The 19,034-nt window shown below is 38.4% G+C and overlaps 1 long non-coding RNA gene and 1 pseudogene across 1 annotated transcript in view, besides 1 other annotated feature; one reads left to right on the forward strand and one right to left on the reverse strand.

Annotated features, from left to right (window-relative positions):
• Positions 1,495-2,378, forward strand: SMC4P1 (structural maintenance of chromosomes 4 pseudogene 1; annotated as a pseudogene).
• LOC105373633 (uncharacterized) overlaps positions 1,670-19,034 on the reverse strand; it is a 31,074-nt gene continuing 13,709 nt past the window's right edge. The window contains exons 2-3 of the long non-coding RNA XR_923360.3: positions 3,501-3,544; positions 1,670-1,743 (exon numbers count right to left, since the gene is read on the reverse strand). This is a non-coding gene — a long non-coding RNA (uncharacterized LOC105373633). The remainder of the gene's footprint in view (positions 1,744-3,500; positions 3,545-19,034) is intronic.
• Positions 3,021-3,191: a silencer, noted in NCBI's record as "fragment chr2:137303752-137303922 (GRCh37/hg19 assembly coordinates)". NCBI's record gives its function as "represses an EF-1alpha promoter that drives an FKBP-Casp9 reporter gene in an ReSE screen in HepG2 liver carcinoma cells {active_cell/tissue: HepG2}" and the evidence as "EXISTENCE:reporter gene assay evidence [ECO:0000049][PMID:32094911]".

A 19,034-nucleotide genomic window follows, 5' to 3' on the forward strand; every position in this document is an offset into this window, starting at 1 on the left:
GCTAATACATTTTCTTTATCATTTAAGCCAGTTGAATTTGAGTATTTGGTTACTTGCAGCCTAAACCTCCCTAGTTAATCTGAAGCTTCATCCCATTTTTTCCCATCTGCATACACATATTGTCAATTTCCAGCTAGAAAATCTTACTTGGATATATCCTGTAAGGCATTATTTTTCAGCCTAAAACATTTAAAATTTAACTACTTGTTTTTTCCTCAAATATACCTCTCAAATTTTTACTGGAAATAATTAGAAATCTTTGACTTACCCTACTTTCAATCAGTTAATGCACCCTACACATACACAAAATTATACAATTTTAACAAGCATACAAAAATTTAAATCTTTTATGAATGCTCTCTGTATGGCAGGCCTTGTGCTAGGAACTTTTATGTAGATTTATATAAACTATTGCAAATTCTTAAAACAATACGGCAGAATAGATAATTTTATCCCCATTATGTATCTTAGGAAAATAAAGCTAGAGCTGTTAGGTAACTTGCCCAAAGTCACACAGCTTGTCTTGGCTGAAAGGAGACTGGAATGTAGTACAGACATTCCCCCTTTGGGTGTTCCTCTTGTCTGGCCACCTCTTCCTGCAGACCTGTCTTTCATCTATATTTATGTTTCCTCTCCCACTATCAGTTTTCAGGTTTAGTCCTAAGTGTTTCGTGCCTGGACTATTGCAGTGGAAAAACCTTCTGGACTCTCTTGCCCTCAAACCTTAGCTGCACATTACTGCACTGACTTCCCCAAGATTTGGCTCATTCCACTTTCCCACGTTAACATCTTCAGTGATTTATCATCAACTGTAGCAGCAGTAACAGTGGCAGGCAGGTAATATAAATATGTGAAGTCTGTTGAAGACACTACGCTCTAAACTGCTTATGTGGGGACCAAATGCCTCTTGAAACACTGGGCACTTTAAGTAATAAAGCGTAAGTTGGCTACTAGTTTGTAACCAAGTGCCCTGAAGACAAAATTCATTATTTTTCTCACAGCATTCAAGGTTATCTAAAACTGAATCCCAAACTAATATCTCCCTTTTATCTCTTAGTCACCACCTCTCTGAAGCCTCTCATTTAGATACAAGGCTGAGTCCCTCCATACTCTAGATGGACTTGACTGCTATGCTCTTTCTCATGCCTTTGTCCCAGGAATTTTGTCCATTCATTCCTACCTACTCCTCGATGGTCACAACCCAGCTCCAGTCCCTCTTCCTTGATAAAGCAATTCTGGGATCTCATAGAAGGGACTCTCAGGTGTGCAAGAGGCCTGCAAAGCCTGCAGGCCAGGCTCCTAGATGATCCTTGCTGGGCATTTGCTGGGCCTGAGTTTGAACACTTAGGTCACTACTCCCTAAGACAGCTTCTGCCACTACTGGGCTTCACTGGCTGTTCAAAGACCTGCTGTCAGTTAAGCCAAATGTTATTACCCTAATGTCTACCTTTTGACGTCAGGTGTGATAAGTCTACTTTTTCCTTTAAAATATTGAAAGAGCAATTGTATGTCTTCCATGTGTTCAGAATCCTCCGTATTCAAAACTCTCTCAAAGAGATAATTTTAGACAGACATATGAAGAGCTTCAGAAACAAATTAATGAATTTATGGCAGGTTTTTATGTAGTACTGAATACATTAAAGGAGAATTACCAAATGCTTACTTTGGGAGGGGATGCCAAACTGGAGCTTGTAGGCAGCTTGGGTCCTTTCTCTGAAGGAATCATGTTCACTGTTTGACTACCTATGAAAAGTTGGAAGAACATCTTCAGCCTTTCAACAGGAGAGAAAATGCTTAGTTCATTGGCTATTTATTTATTTACTTCTTATTTTCTTTGAGACAGAGTCTCACTCTGTGGCCCAGGCTGGAGTGCAATGGCACGATCTTGGCTCACTGCAACCTCTGCCTCCTGGGTTCAAGCAATTCTCCTGCCTCAGCCTCCTAAGTAGCTGGGATTACAGGCACCTACCATGCCTGGCTAATTTTTGTATTTTTGGTAGAGACGGAGTTTCACCATGTTGGCCGGGCTGGTCTCAATCTCCCGACCTCAAGTGATCCACCCGCCTTGGCCTCCCAGAGTGCTGGGATTACAGTCATGAGCCACTATCCCCAGCCATGGCTTTAGTATTAGCTCTTCCCCTCTATAAACCCACTCCCTTCTACTTCAGGGACAAGGTTGATGCAGCCGTTGATTTTAAAGATGTGTCCATTGTTGCATTTTATAAATATGAACAAACAGAAATACTCAGTTCATAATTTCTCCTTGAAATATTAATATGTTTGCAATTTCAGATAGACTTACTGGAATTTACAAGATCTACAATATAACAAAAAATGTTGCAGTAAGCCCCAAATAAATTGCATCTAAAGGACTTTGTTGAACTTGTTTATTCTTCCAATTGAGTTGGCATAGATTTGGTGTATTGTATTACTGATTTTCTATTTGTAAAGGATTATGAGTTATATAGAATACATATTTTTAAACTGGGAAGAAACCCTCTAAATCTCTCTCATATCTTGCCTGTATTCTACAAGAGGATCAGATGCAGTGTTTGACTGTCCAAGTACATTCTAAAGCTCTCTAAGGAAGCATTTGGCTTTGAGCAATGAACAGGTGATCAGACCAAAGGGGACAAAAGTGAAGAGAAACACAAAGGTGGTATGGATTCACCATGCAGGAGCCATCCTTTGAAAAGCCTTCCCTGCACAGTGATAATATGTGTGTGTGCGTGCACGTGTGTGTGTGCTTGCACACACCTGTGTATGTGTATGAGGTGTTGGTATGGGGTGGAGTTGGGGACTTGAGAGTGGGGTAGAGATTTTTCTGAAACTTCTGTCTGAGGGAACTGGAAAACTGTTTTCCTGATAGCATATTTAATCTAAATTTGTTAGGAAGCAGCCACAGTGAATTTTGGTATATTCATCCATGTCTCTACTGAATTTCCACAGCATTAATCATCTGTGGCACTTCCTTGGAAGTAACCTCCCCGCTCCTTGTGATGCTGTGAGCTGTGTGTCATTGTGGGCCGCCTCACTGGGCTTCCCATGGCTGTCCATCAGCTGCCCAGGTAGAAGCCAAACCCCTCAGAGGGAGGGGCTATGGTCCCGGCCCAAGTGTCCCTCATAAATCTTCACAGAGTGACAGCAGAGCATAGGTGTCCATAAGCATTTGTTGTCAGACCCACAGAGAACAGAAAGAACCCTGAATAAAATGGAAGAATTGCCAGGTGGGCTCCTCAAGTTAAATCAGGCTATTACCAATATCATCACATCTCAGGGTTAAGGGGCTTTAAAGACCATCTGTTTGAAAAGTCTCCCTCCCATTTAACTGAAAAATGTTTCCCTATGGCTTCTACCAGTTAGTCTGCAAAGAACAAAGCTTTCTATTTCTTAGACAGCCATTATGTTTCGTCTCATACATGTAACATGGGTAATGAGTATGTGTGAGTATGTGTGAGCACTTGGGCATGTGTGTGTGCCTGGTGGGCACATTATCTTACCTGTAGTAAACAGTTGTAATAATGGACCATGCCAATCAGAAGGTCTACAAGTAATAAAAATTTTTACATTATAAATTTACTGTATAATTCATACATTTGAAAGAAGACTACAAAAAATAAGTAGATGTGGTTTTGCATTTAGTTAAGGTGAGATTTAGTTGTGATTTTTATTTGCATTTTCTCTTTCTCATATCTACTGGTATAAATTAAAATTATGGGCTTTTAAATAAAACTTTTTTAAATCTCAAAAATAATCTCACTGTTATCCTGAATTGATGATAGTATGTGGAACCCTGGCAAAGATTATTAAAGCAGACGGAACTCTGGCAGAAGGTTCTATTCTTTGGAGACCCCATCCCAGGAAAGGCCTCAGGCCAGGCAGTAATTTCTATTTCCTGTCTCTTGTCTTCACCTTCTGGGGACTCCCACGCAATCCAGCACCCCATCTGGACACCGAGATCCATAAGGATAGTTTATTGCCAGACCTCTGCTGAGCTAGAAACATTCTTCAGACAGTGCTCAATTCTCCAAAAGACATCCACAGTCTGCACATTTCAGCCTTGATTTCTGCATCAGATGTGAGCTGGGGCAAGAAAGGCTGTGAATTAAAAAGGAGCTATAACTTGCTCATCAGTGATAAGGAAGAGGAGGGCCTACTTCCCCTTCATTGGCCATTAATTAAAAATAGTAAGTTTATTTTTTTCTAAATACTTTCTTGTGTACTCCAGTTTTACAAAAATGAGCATACAGTCATATTCCTTTATTCACTCTTCTACTAAGCATCTATTGAAATATTTACAGTGAGCTAGGTGCTGTGCTAGGGTAAACAATGGGTAAAAAGTGCTTGCCTGCGGGGAGCTTATCATCTGTTGGAGCAGTTTATTTTATTGAATAACTACTATGTGCCTGGCATTGCACCAAGTATTTTACTGACATGATCTCATTTAATCCTCATCATAATTTCATAGCATGGGAGTAATCATCCCCATTTAATAGATGAAGATTTTGAGGCTCAGAGAATATAAGCAACTTTACTAAAAGCCATTAAGTCGCAGGGACAGGGTTGGAGCCTGTGGTAAATAGTTTTTCCAGTTACCCATGTTTAATGCCCCTTCCCTGTTTTGTTGACTTTGGGTGTGGGTCCGTGGCCAACTTTGACTAGTGAGAGGAGAGTGGAAGGGATGTCTTTTCTGAACAGAAGCTTGAAGATCGGTACACAGTTTGCCTTGTTCTCCGCTGTGATGACAATTCCAGGTGGAGGCTGCCCAGGTAACCTTAGTCCCAGAGTGAAGAAGACATAGAGTACAGATACAGCCCACCCATAGCAGGCATGCGGAGGGCATGAAAAATCAACTGTTGCTGTTGTAAGTCACTGAAACTCTGGGGTTATGTTTTCTGCAGCCTGGCTGTCCGACTGGTGCAGAACCTTTAAGCCATTATACCAGAATGCCTTCTTTTATATTATTTCTATAATTAGAAGTGAAAAAAAAAACAGTTGAAATTGGAGAAAACATTAATCTGGGCCAGATTTTTTGTTCTAAAAATGTTTACATGAATGATGATTTTTTTTCTTCTGCCTTATCTGCCACCCTTCTTCCACTGTTAAAATCTTCTATATCCATGAGGATGACTATCTACAGGACTCATCCTGCCCCTTGCTGTTTTAATGCCTTAGTGGATACCTCTTCCTGCAGTGCTTATAGCTGAATTCAGTTCCACAAGCACTTATTGAGCATCTTTTGGAATGTCTATTATCCCGCTTCTTCAAAGTCCCAAACTCCTACCCACTCCGTGCAGCCATCCTGATGACCCCATACCTATATGATCTCTCTCGCTCTACCCTAGACTCTAATACCATTATTTGCCACACATTATATGTTCCCTTAAACTGTTTACTATCATTTTTGATTGGAATAAAATTCAAATAACACAAAATTCACCATTTAAAAGTGGACAATTCAGTGATTTTTAGTATATTTACAATGTTGTGCAACCATCACTATTTAATGCCCCAAACTTTTCATTACTCACAAAGAAACTTCATTATCTACAAAGTAAGCACTCCATATTCTTTCCTCTCGGCAGGCCTTGGCATCCACTAATCTGTTTATTTTTCCTTTATGGATTTATCTCTTCTGGACATTTCACATAAATAGAATTGTGCAGTATGTTGACTTTTGCATCTAGCTTCTTTTACTTAGGATATTTTCAAAGTTTGTCCAGTTGTGGCATGGATCACTATGTCACTTTTTTATGGTTGAATAACATTCCATTATTTAGATATACCACAATTTGTTAATCTATTCATCAGTTGATGGACATTTGGATTGTTTCCATATTTAGCTTTTGTGAATAGTGCTGTTGTGGGTGTGCAAGATTTTGTGTGGATATATGTTCTCATTTCTCTTGAGGATATACCTAGGAGTAGAATTGTTGGGTCATATGGTAACTTTATCTATGGTAACTTTATCTTTTTGAGTTTCTTTTTTTTGTTTGTTTTCTCTAAGACCCTGTGGGCTTCTAGCAGAAAGTTTTCCAACTCTATCTGTGCTGCTGCAGTACATACATTCATTCCTTTGACAAATGTGAGTCAAGGGCCTATTTTGTGCCTGGTACTCCTCTGGGCATTTCTGCCAAATTGATTTTCATAGAATCCTAGCCTGTGATCTGAGAGGTCATTTGGTCCCTTTTCCCATCCAGTAGAAGAATCCTATATCCAAATCCTGTGGTCTTCGTATCAACTTTCATCCTTAAACCATAGGGCGTAGCTCCTTAAATGTAATTTTGGTTGCATTTTGTGACTACAGAAACAATATATACTTATTGTGCAAAACTTCAAAGTATAAGAACATATTAAAAAAGAAGCAAAAATTATCTATAATTCTATAACCCACCACTAACATATTGCTAAATTTCCTTTCAGACTTTTTGTCTGTCCAATAATGTAATTCATGTAATTGGGATCATCCTGTATTCAGATACCTCTTGTGCATGGCTTCAAACCCTCTCATCATCACCCCATATTATGAAAGCTTCCACCAGTCTCCCACAGGCGTCAGCCAACAGCACCTCACCTTGGGCAAGACCATTGTACCTCTTGCTTCTCTGACCTAATGGTGTCAGTGTGATGTGTCTAAGGGATCTGCTCAACATGTGCAATCTAAACCTTTGACCAAAGATAAGTGACCTTCTGTTCCTTGGGCTTCTCAGAAAGAGATGGAACAATCAGTTTCTCCCAATAGTCATCAATGGTGTGATACATCTTTCGATTTTCTCTCTCTCCTCCTCTGTTCAGTCCTCCTATTCCTCCCTTGCTTCCTGGAATCATCATCCCGAATAAATGACCCACACATCAAAGTTTGTTGCAGATGTTACTTTGGGAGTGGGGGAGAAACACGGACTAAGGTATTGTATATGCAATTTCAGACACAGATTTAAACATTATGCCATGAGTTTAGAATATACACACAAATACATATATATGTATGTATACGTATTTATAAATTTGAATAGTATGTGAATTGCTGTATAAGTGTATATAAATTTATATTCTTGTATATGTAAATTCAAATATGTATTTTAGGTATAAATATTTTTATATATAATACATTGGCATTCATCCCTCTTCCCTTCTATGATCTCCTATATCAGAGATTCTGGAAGCCTAGGACACCATTTCCCAGAATCCTTTGCCAGCAGGCATCTAATTTAGACTCTGCTGCTCATAAATGAATGGATGGCAGAAAGAAGCAGAAGGTAGTATTGTTTCTCTGGCACTGGTGGGCGAGTGTGTGGGCTTTACATATGGTGAATGTGAATTTTTTGCAGTGGCTTCTTTAGATTCACATGCAGTTGTAAGGAATAATATAGAGAAATATTGTATACATTTTACATAGTTCCTCACAACAGTAATATTTTACAAGATAGTCATATGGTATTACAACTGAGATGCTGACATTGATACAATTCACTTATCCTATTCAGAATTCCTTGGTTTTACTTGTACGCGTGTGTGTGTGTGTGTGTGTGTGTGTGTGTGTATTTAGTTATATACAATTTATTCACATTTTTACTGTGATATAATTCACAAAATATAAAATTCACTAATTCAGAGTTCAATGGTTTTTAGTATATTCACAAAATTATCCAGCTTTCACTACTATCTAACTCTAGAATGTTTTCATTACCTCAGAGGGAAACTCTACCCTTAGCAGTCACTCTCTATCTCTCCCTCTAGCCCTAGGCAACCAGTAATCTACTTTCTTTCTCTAAGGATTTGTGTATTGTGGACACTTCATATAAACAGAATGATATAATATGTGGTCTTTTGCAATTGGCTTCTTTCCCTTAGTATAATGTTTTCAAGGTTCATGTTGTAGCATGTATCAGTACCTCATTCTTCTTTATTGTAGATAATATTTTATGGTATGGACACTTTATCCATTCATCGGATGATGACATTTGAATTGTTTTCACTTTGGTAGTATTATAGATATGCTGCTATAAAAACTGTGGAAACTTGATGTGCAAGTTTTTGTGTGGACATATGTTTTCATTTCACTTCTATATATACCTATGAGTGCCATTGTTCATCATATGGTAACTCCATGTTAACATTAAATAACTTTTAAACTGTTTTCCAGAGTGATAGCACCGTTTTACATTCTTACTAGCAATGTTTGAGGGTTCCAGTTTTTCTACAACCTGGCCAAAATTTGTAATCATATGTCTTTTTTGATAGTTCTATATATTTTTATCAAATGTATAGGTCCATGTGTCCACCACCATAGTCAAGATACTGAACAGTTTCATTAACACAAGGATCCCTCATGTTGCCTTTTTTTTTTTTTTTTTTTTTTGAGACAGAGTCTCGCTCTGTCGCCCAGGCTGGAGTGCAGTGGTGCGATCTCGGCTCACTGCAAGCTGCACCTCCCAGGTTCACGCCATTCTCCTGCCTCAGCTTCCCAAGTAGCTGGGACTACAGGCGCCCGCCACCACGCCCGGCTAATTTTTTTGTATTTTTTTAGTAGAGACGAGGTTTCACCGTGTTAGCCAGGATGGTCTCGATTTCCTGACTTAGTGATCCGCCCACCTCGGCCTCCCAAGTGCTGGGATTACAGGCATGAGCCATGGCGCCCGGCCATGTTGCCCTTTTAAAACTGCACCCACCTCGCTTCCACATCCTCCCAACCCCTTACCAACTCCAGGAACCACTAATCTTTTCTCCATTTCTAAAATTTTGTCATTTCAAAAATGGAATCACAGGAAGTAATCAAAGGCTACTTAGTATGTAAACAGAAAAATATATTAAGTAACCTTTGGGGATTGACTTTTTTCAAACTATTGATACATACAACATGGATGATGTCCTGTGGATATACTACAATTTGTTAAATTGTTTAAGCATTTATTCACTGAAGGACATCTGGGCTGTATCCAGTTTTTGGCTATTATAGCTGCTATAAACACTTATTTGCAGGTTTTTGTGTGAGCATAAGTCTAAATTTCTCCAGCATAAATGCCCAAGAATGCAATTAGTGGGTGGTTGTATGGCTATTGGAGGTTGAGTTTATAAAAATTGCCAAACTATTTTCCATTTTCCATTCTGGCCATTTCGGTATGAGTACTGTAGTTTCTCTGCATCCTCACCAGCATTTGTTGTTGTCACTCTGTTGTTTATTTTTTAATCTTTGCTTATTGTATCTTTCTCTATGCAAACTTTCAAAAATTTACCTTTTTAAAAAAGTCCTCTTTTTTATTTATAGCGGTGATCTTCATGTTATGGTTAGGAAAGTCTTTTTCACTATCATATTATAAAAACTATTTCTTATATTTTCTTCCAGTATTTTTATAGAGAGGCAATGCGGGATGGAGTAGATCAGAATGGTTGGAGTCTGTCTGCAGTGAGATCTGCTCTGTTTAAGTCTTGGCTCCATCACTTGCTACTGTGCCCACTTTTAGTTGACATGTATCTCTATACTTTCCCTGTATATCTCCTCTCCTGATATCTCCTCTCCTTCAACTGTTTCTTAGGTAATGCTTTCTCATCCTGGTCAACCTCTGCTGGAAATTCTCCAGTATGACAATGTCTATCTCAGCTTCCATTCCAGATAAATTTTGACAGTGCAGAGAAAGTGGGTCTTAACTTGCACTGTTCTGCACACTGTTAGTGTTAGCAAAGATTGCAGTGACTTTTGGAGGTGACCATGTTAACTCCCTGGCCATTAGGAAACTTCTGAAAGCAAAACACCATCATTTTCACATGAACTGCTATTAAAGCAAGTCTCTTCCATCTCACATTTCTGCAGGCAATTTGATGATTTTTATCTGTTCCTCCAGTAGTTTCTTTGATTAATGTATAGTGGCCCTATTTGTTCCTAATAATGCTTTTCACCTTAAAGTCTATTTTGTCTTATAAAAATGTTGCCATATTAGAATATTTTTGCTAAGGTATTTCTTGAATATCTTTTGCCTTTATTTTCTATTTTCAGTATTATTTTGTTTTAGGGGTGTCTCATATATAGTATATAGCTTGATTTTTTAAAATCTTATTTGATAATCTGAATGTGAATAGGTGAGCTTATTTGTATTTGTTGAAAACCTAATATAATTGGACTTACTTATGCCATGTACTTTGTACTTTTATTCACCTTTCCTGTTTTCTGTTTTTAAGTTCCTATTCTGTTTTCTTCTGTTTGAGGTTATAGATTGTTTCCGGTTTTTAAGTACTTATCTTTAACAATTTTAACATTCCTTCATAACTTTTTTAAAGCCTATATTTATTTAATGTCTTTGTCCTATTCCATACTGTATTTCTTCTGTTCTTTTTTTTTAATCTTAGGACAGATCTTTATATTTTTCTAATTAAAATTAATCTCATTAGTTTCAGTTCATCCTGATAGCCTGTTGAGTGATCAAGAGGTCCCAATCCAGTGCTGAGGGATTCTCCTCCTGTTTTGTGCCATCCTAACTTTATTACGCCTGAGTCTACCCAAGTAATTAATTTTAAAAATATGTAATAGAGCTAGGTTCAGGATCCATTGTTTTCTATTTAGGAACTCCATGCCTTGGGGCTGGAGGGTGGAGAGTCGAACATAAAAATCTACTTTTCTAAACTGCTTGAATTATTTCTGACCATGACCAGCTTTCTTTTTCTTGACTATTACAAGACAATTTCATCACTTTCCCCCCAAAGTTCCTATCACTTCCACTCCATCATTCAAGCCAGGCTGTTGATTAAAATTAATTGAGGTAAAGCTGCTCCTGTGGTGGCTTCTTCAGTCTTCTGAGTGATGAAATTGTCAACGATGCGAGGCAGGAATCCATCAGATTCTCATCAAGTGAGACTGCCGGCCGATGTGTAGATAAGAGTCCTGTAGCTGTGATGGGGTGGGGGTGGGGAGAGTAAGAGGACACAAAAAGACACTTGCATGTGGCATGGCATGGTAGACTAGGGACAACTGGGAGGCAGTAAACGTGGGCTCTTGCATCATACTTTAGGAATTGAAAACGCCACACATTTGAACACATACAAATGCTAGACCATTATTTAGTTACCTTGGAGATTTTCCCTCAGTTTGTCACCTACGCACTTCTTAACCCCTTGCAATCTGTTTTGTCTTCTTGCTTCTATCAAATCTATTTCTTCCTTCTTGCTTCTATCGAAACTATTTTCTTTTCCTTGACCAGAACCCCAGAGCCTGTTTACTGTTCTAATTCTAGGAACCTGTCTTTTTTATTCAGCACCACCGACCCTCTGCTTTCTTAATGAAATTCTTTCCTTTTTCCATTTCTCTGTCGTTGTCTTCTCATGTTGCTCCCCTACCCCCTTCCTTTGCTGATGTTTCTTGTTCCTTCCCCTTTTCCTTGAATGTGTGCCCCACTCCACCCAGGCACAGCCACAACTTCCTGCTTGGATGTCTTCTTTCTGCTCCTTAAAAGTTAACATGCCCTGCATTGAATTCTTTACATTGTTCCTAAGAGGAGTTCATCCTTGATTTCATTCTTTCTCTTAATGGAACATCATTTCCCCAGGGACATTGGCTGAAGATCCTGAGTCCTAGAATGGAGTGCTGAGCTATATCCAATCATACTGCAGTTTAATAAGCATGTACTGACTACATTTGGCGGTGCTGGGTTATAGGCTTTTTCATCGAAGAGCTCATCGTCTAGTGGATTAGAATGAGAACACCACATAGCCAGGGCTGCAGCAAACAGGTACACATGCTCTGGCAGCCCAGAGTAGGGAGGGAGGGGAAGACGATGAATATTCATGAAGGACCTGCTAGGTGCCAGTTTTTGCACTAGGCTTTCCATATATATCATCTCAGTGGAAGCTTATGACCCTCTGAGGTAGATATTTTACAGCCAAGGCAAGGTAAGCTCAATGGGGTCAAGGTCAAATGACTGCATAATAAATGCTGGAATCAGGATTCAAAGTTGAATCTGTTATTTTTCCAGAGCACTACATTGCCCCCTATGCTGTTACAAAAGAGGGTAAACATGTGTTAATCATTTAAGGATGAACTTTTCTTGGTAGTTAATATGCAGAAGAGAATTCCTGGCACAGGGAGTAGAATATAAAAAAGCATAAAGAGTATGCGTTAGAGTTTTAAGTAGAAAGAAGGAACAAAAGAGGAGGAGGAAGTTTAGGGAGAAAGATGATGCATTAGGCTTTAGACATGCTGAGTTCCAGGCATTTATAGGCTACCCACATTGTCAGTTCAGTGAATAGTTGGAAATATGAGTTTGAGAAAGTGATAGGTCCCACAGAATGAGAGAAAATACTTGGAAATCATACATCCAACAAGGGGTTAATATCTAAAATAGATAAGGAACTCAAACAATTCAATAATAATAAAACAACCCAATTAAAAAAATGGGCAAAGGACCTGAACAGACATTTCTCAAAAGAAAACATACAAATGGACAACCAGTACATGAAAAGGGCTCATCATCAGAAATCATTAAGGAAATTCTAATGAAAATCACAATAAGAGATCACCTCACACCTGTTAGAATATCTTTTATTAAATAAAATGAAAGATAATAAATGTCGGACAGGATTCAGAGAAAAGGGGACCATACATTGTTGGTAGGAATGTAAATCAGTACAACCATAATGAAAAATGGTATGGAGGTTCCACACAAAGCTAAAAAGAGAATTACTATATGACTTAGTAATCCCACTTCTGGATATATATCCAAAGGAACTGAAATCAATATGTTGAAGGGATATCTCTACTCCCCTGTTTATTGCAGCGTTATTTACCAAGGTATGGAAGCAACCTAAGTGTCCATCAGTGGATGAATCTATAAAGAAAATGTTATACATTTTACACACATTACATGCATTTACATACGTTGTACACAATGGAATGCTATTTAGCCTTAAAAAGGGGGAAATTCTGTCATTTTTTTTTTTTTTACAACATGGATGAATCTGGAGAACATTATGTTAAGTGAAATAAGCCAGGCATAGAAAGACAAATACAGCATGATCTCACTTATATGTAGAATCTAATACAGTTGAACTCATAGAAGTGAAGAGTAGAACAATGGTTACCAGGGGCAAGGAGGGCAAAGGGAGTTGTTGATCGAAGGGTACAAAGTTTCAGCTAGATCAGAGGAATATGTTTTGAGATCTGCTGCACAGCAGGGTGACTATAGTCAATAATAATGTATTATAAATTTCAAGATAACTAAGAGGGCAAATTTCAAAAGTCACATCATAAAAATGAAAGGTAAACGAGGAGACACATAAGTTAACTAGCTTGATGTAATCATGCCACATTGTAGACATGTATCAAAACATCACATTTTAGCCTATAAATTTATACAACTATGATTTGTTAATTAAAAAGAGATAGGAAACTAGAAATTTAAATCTGCATGTTTTCAGTGTCAACGTAAGGGATTGGAGTTGTGGAGGTGGTAAAATTATCTAGGTAGACTGTATTGTGCCAAAAAAAAAAAATGAGCGAGATGTTACCAAGGACCAGGAGATTGAGAGGGAGCTTCCAGAGAGAGGGAAGCAGGAGAGAGCAGATGATGAAAACCAGAGAAGAATTTCAAGAAGGTCAAGATCAACAACAGGGTTTCCAAAGAGATAATTTGGGGTCAAGACTAAAAATGACAATTGAATCAGGCAACTAGGAGGTCACTGGAGAATTTGTTGAGAACAGTTCTAATTTAGAGGTGAGGAATGGAATGCAAGTTTCAAGGGGTTAGGAGATGTGCAGGGGGTAAAGAGCAGAGAAAAAAAGTCATGGTGGTTGATCTCTATGGTAGTATCTTCTCCCATTTTCAAGGCCAGCTCAAATATAATCTTGTCTATGAAATTTCCCCCCATATCTCTCTTTTTCTCTGTGCTTCCAGGTCATTCTTACCTCCATTGTATCCCTTGTCACCATCCAATCTGTGTTTGTGATTTGGGTACAGTTTCTAGGACTGGATTGCAAGCTTCATGAGGTGTGAGATCCTTTTCTTGATGTCACAACACTAAACTGGTACTCGGTGGGTATTCACATAGTGCCTTGGATTGGCAACCGTAGGCATTAACAAAATAGTTGCTACACTGAAGTAATCAGACACCAGCATTACAAAAAGTAACAACAAGTTCTTGTAATAAGTGAGGTTTACTTTTTTTTTGAGGGGAGGGAGTATATGCTGAGTGAAAGAAACCTGAGTAATTCTTCTGTCCAGGCAAATGGGGTGTGTGCATTCTGAAGATAGATAGCTCAGTCAGCAATTCTTTCAGAACTGTAAGTCTTTTGTCTATATGAAACCAAACAATTGGCATGAAATTTTTGTCAAAGCTGACATTTTCTTCAATTTGTTAAACTTTTCTTCAACCAGTTGCAATTTTTAAATGAACTTATCTGGGAATTTTGACTTTGTTTAGAAATGAGCTTTTAGGGGTTCTGATCAAAGTGTGTTCTGGATAGTTTTGGAGTAATGAAATGAAGTAAAAAAAGAAGCATGCTAAATAATGTTAGCCAAAAAGAGGGAGAGCAGTGCTGTGCGGCATTCTAGAAAGAGAGGTAGGATATATCTGACTTCTGCTCCTAACCCTGCTCCTAATAAGCAGGGTTACCTCACTTAATGACTTTGTGTTTTGGTCTCCATATCTGTAAAACAAGGCAGTGAGACAGGATTCTAAGATCCCCATTCCTGTTTTAACATTTTATGAATCTAAGAAAAACCCTTCTACAGTGATAGTCTACAAAATATTTCCACCCTCATGATCTCTACTTTCCAACATCCATTTGGCAGTGAATATGGAATTACTGAAGGAGGGAAGCACAAAATTGGCTCGTTTCCTCCTTCCTCTTCACCTTAATCCTGATTTGCTGTCATTACAGAAAACTAAATGCAACCTGATGGCCCCAGTTTGATTATTGAACTGTAAGCTCTGCAGAGAAAGGGACCATGTCTAATCTCCTCTGTGTATCACACCAGAACCATGGTTCCGGATCCTACACACGCTGTTTGCTTAACTGACTGTTTGAGAGCTTGGCTGTGTTGAATCTGTGTAGTGACCTGCTGAAGGTGAATTGCTCAGCTTGGCAGGTAATTTATGATTCCTATTTGTTGCTATTGATTTTAATTATGTGCTGTGTTTCTATAAATATTTTACATAGACCCAGAAACTTCAAAAGCACATGGCATATATATTTTTTTAAAGATTAAAAATGAAAACCAACAGAAACCAAGAGAAACTCTAGCACTGGCCTCTTTGTTACATTTTCTGTCACAAACCGGTGGACAACTTCCTCTGTTCTAGCTTCCTGAGTAATTTCTCAGGTGAGCTCTGGGGAGTAAGGTATGAGTGGGTGGATAAGAGCCTTCTTATCTAATGTGACAGGACTGGTAGTTGTTTTAAAGATTGATTAAAAAGAAGAATTTGAATAAATTGTGCACACGTAGCTCACCATTTGATTTGAGTATAAAATTCTGTGAATGCATACCCCTTTTCCAACCTTTTGATATAAAGTCAAGGTCTTTTTTCATGGGATGGGGGCGGATTTGGGAGGATTCAATACTCTTGCATACACATTGCCTACAACACTCAGTTTCTATCTCTTGAGATGCAAGGAAAACCTATACCTTTGTAAAGCAGTTTGACTGTAGAACCCTTCTAGATATGTATGGTCATTTCCCCAGTCTTTTACAAATCTTTTACCCTCACCTAATTAAACACACTTGGGAATCTTTCCAAAGTATTTAATTATCATATAATTAAATCTCTTTTTTCACTCACATTTTATCTGCTTAGATAATATTTAGCTATATAATTTCAACAGCATGTAAAACTGTTAACAACAAGCTAAGAAATATTCAACATGCTCTTGGTAGATGTGAGGGCTTCTCAAAGCGGCCTCATAGTCACATGCCTGGATGGTGCCACAGGCATCAGACCTGTGTTCTGTAGAGGAAATGGAGGCTGCTGGGTCATATGGCAATTTGGTTATTGGAAAGCCCTTACAAGTGCATCTTCTGTAACTTCGAAATATCTCTTCAGCCAAATATCCAGAGGCATTCTTTTTAATTTTTTTCACCTTTATTGAGGTATTATTAAAAATTATATGTTTTAAGGTGTACAACATGATGTTTTGTTATACATTGTGAAATGTTTACCACAATTAAGCTAATTAACATATCTTCATAGTACCTTTTTTGGTGATATACTTTCTTATTAGGATGTACCCTCTTAGCAAATTTCAAATCTACAGTACCGTATTGTTAACTACTGTCACCATGTTGAGGTCTTCAATAAGCTTCCTCTATGATGAGTTTATCCATGACACCTGTCCTTAAACTATGAGTGGTCCACCCCTTCTCAGATACAATAATAAACTCTTTCCATAGCTTATTTTCTCTTAAGACAGAAGAATGGCTATCTCATTATTGTGTTTGCTAATTTATCTTATTTAGGAAAGCATTTAACCAATACTAGAAATCAAAACCTATTTCTATCTGGGTCTCATTGATTCATCTACATTTTCTCTGATTCCTTGTATCTTTGAAACCAAATCTAAAACTGAAGATCTAACCTAATGAGAGTAATGTTACTTCTAGTATGAAATAGTCATTGCAATATTCAGTGAAAAATGTCTTCACAGAGTGCCATCTGCTTTCCTCTTCCTGCATTTCTCTTGAAGGTGATCATGAAAAAGGCATTAGGAAATTCCCCTGACTTAGGGGGAATTCCAATCAGGCCTAAGGCTAGGGTCTGCTGAGGAATATTAGGCCAGGAAAACTGATTTTTATTTCTTTTGTCCCATAATCCACACAAGTAGTTCCTTTTGCACCTGTTGAGGATGTAGGCTTGCAGCTAAAGCCTATAGACACTCTGGACAGCCATGTTGATGAAAAAGGAAGCCACTTTACACTTTCTTGTACCCTCTCCCATCATGGGCAGTATCACCAGTGGCTGCACATTCCTGTGGGGACTTGGGGATCATATTTCCATATGGGTGTCTGTTTTGTTGCTTCCTTTTTGTGCCATTTTAATAAATTTCCCTATTTGCCGTGAAATGTACTTTACATCTGTTTGTTATCTGTTTTCCCCATGAGCATACAAGTCCGTAACTTTTTCTAGATATATTCACAGTGCCCACAACAGAATCTGCACGTAGAAGGTATTCAATAAATAGCTGTCTAATGAATATGTTCTCTAACTGTGTCTATTGCATATTTCCATCAACTATCGGGTAGACAACAGACAAGATGCCAGTCACTGGAGCAGAAAGGGGTAGGTGAGGTCAATGATAATGGAAAAGCAGGGCCTTGGTGCCATAGGACCTGTGACACTGGACAGGCTATCAAAGGAGGCTTGGCAAGGATTCTGTCACCAGAATCAAGACTTAGAGTTTGATTCTAAATCCCCCAGATGAACACAAACCAAGTGACAACTTCCTCTGTTCTAGCTTCCTGAGTAATTTCTCATTTGAGATGAAGGCTTCAATGTAATTGAAGACTGCGGTGTAATGGACCGCAGTCTCTATATTAGCATCATTAACCCCAGACTAAGAAGAGGTGTGTCACATGGACAAAAATTGTGGCAAAGCACAGTAGAGCTTTCTCTCCTTAACCTTTTTGGCCAATGTAACACTTACGCATTGACTGAAATCAGGCATCCTTGGTCTTTACTGGGCTGAGTGACAGTTTAGTTGTTAAATAACTGACTTGTGGGCTAATAGTTGTTAATTAAATCTCTTTATGAAGAGCATTTTAAAAATTACCTCAATATCCCTTCTGCTTGCCTCTGAAAACTGAGTGCTTAATAGCAGAGAGAAAAAAATATTGTTTCCATAGGAGTCCCAGAATATTGGCAGAAGAGAGCGGGCTGCCTCCAAAGAACTAATTTCAGGCACATAAACAGGTCGGCTTGTAACGGTGGAATATCCTTTTGTTTATTCCATTAAATAGAATTTTCCTGGGCTTTTGCTGTGCATAAATATTTGCTGCAACGTTGCAATGCAGCACAACCCCCTCCCCATCCTTACCCCACAGGTGAGGGGCCTTTGGGCCAAGGCACTGTTGAGAGTCGCACCTCTATCAATTTGGTCTGGATTTATTAAACTCTGTTACCAGAAATTATGTGTCACAGGGACATTAAGGCCATATATAGTGAGCCCTGTCCTATATTTCCTAACCTCACTTCTGTGCCTGCATCTCTCTCTGCCCAGAATTTTTGTGTTTCTCTGCATTTCCAAATCACCTGTAAAGTGCCCATTTCTCTTTCCCAGCTGCTCTCTTGTGTTATTTATAATAGGCCCCAGGAGGAAATGTTCATTCAAAGCAGTAAGAGGAGATTATGATAGAGAAGAGAGAGATTTGGCAGTGCTCTTTGGAGTTGAAACCTGTGACGTTAAAAAGAAAAGAAAAAGTCATGTGCTGAGCAAAGGCTGTAGCTGAAGGTGAGGTGTGATCCAGGGGCTTCAGGAATTGATTATTCTTCTGTGAAAGAATTGTTTAAGAATAGGCAATTTAAAAAATGTTATTACCACACACTTCTTATCAGGGCTAAAATAATTAAGTGAATTATCTTTTAAGGAATATGACAAGGGAAGTAGACAGTTGGGGTAAATGAAAGCTTTCTGCTTGATCTTGTCCAATCAATAAAAACTCCAGGGGTCCCTGTTCAATGAAGAAATTCAAAAGACCCCTGGCATTCCCACAAGAAGAATTCTGGTTTCTGAACTCTTAACATAAATTCTGTAGCAACTGATGGATTTGTTTGCTCAAGAATACTCGCATTCAGTGTGAAATCTATTTTTAACAGAACTTTGGAACATGTGCCCAGAACGTAAGTGGATAAATCACTTGTTTCTAGAAATATTAATGATTCTAGTAACAGTTAAATTGTTAGAACTAATATTCTACCTTCAAATTCTGGGTGGCCACTTCCCATAGACTTGCCATTTCACTTTGAAAATCTGCATAATTCCTTACTGGTCTAAAACTATGTAGGTCTATGATCAATGGAGAAGTTTCTAAATTTCTTTGTGAACTCATTTCTAGGTCTAA

This window comes from Homo sapiens, chromosome 2 (assembly GCF_000001405.40).
Source record: "Homo sapiens chromosome 2, GRCh38.p14 Primary Assembly".
Lineage (NCBI taxonomy): Eukaryota > Metazoa > Chordata > Mammalia > Primates > Hominidae > Homo > Homo sapiens.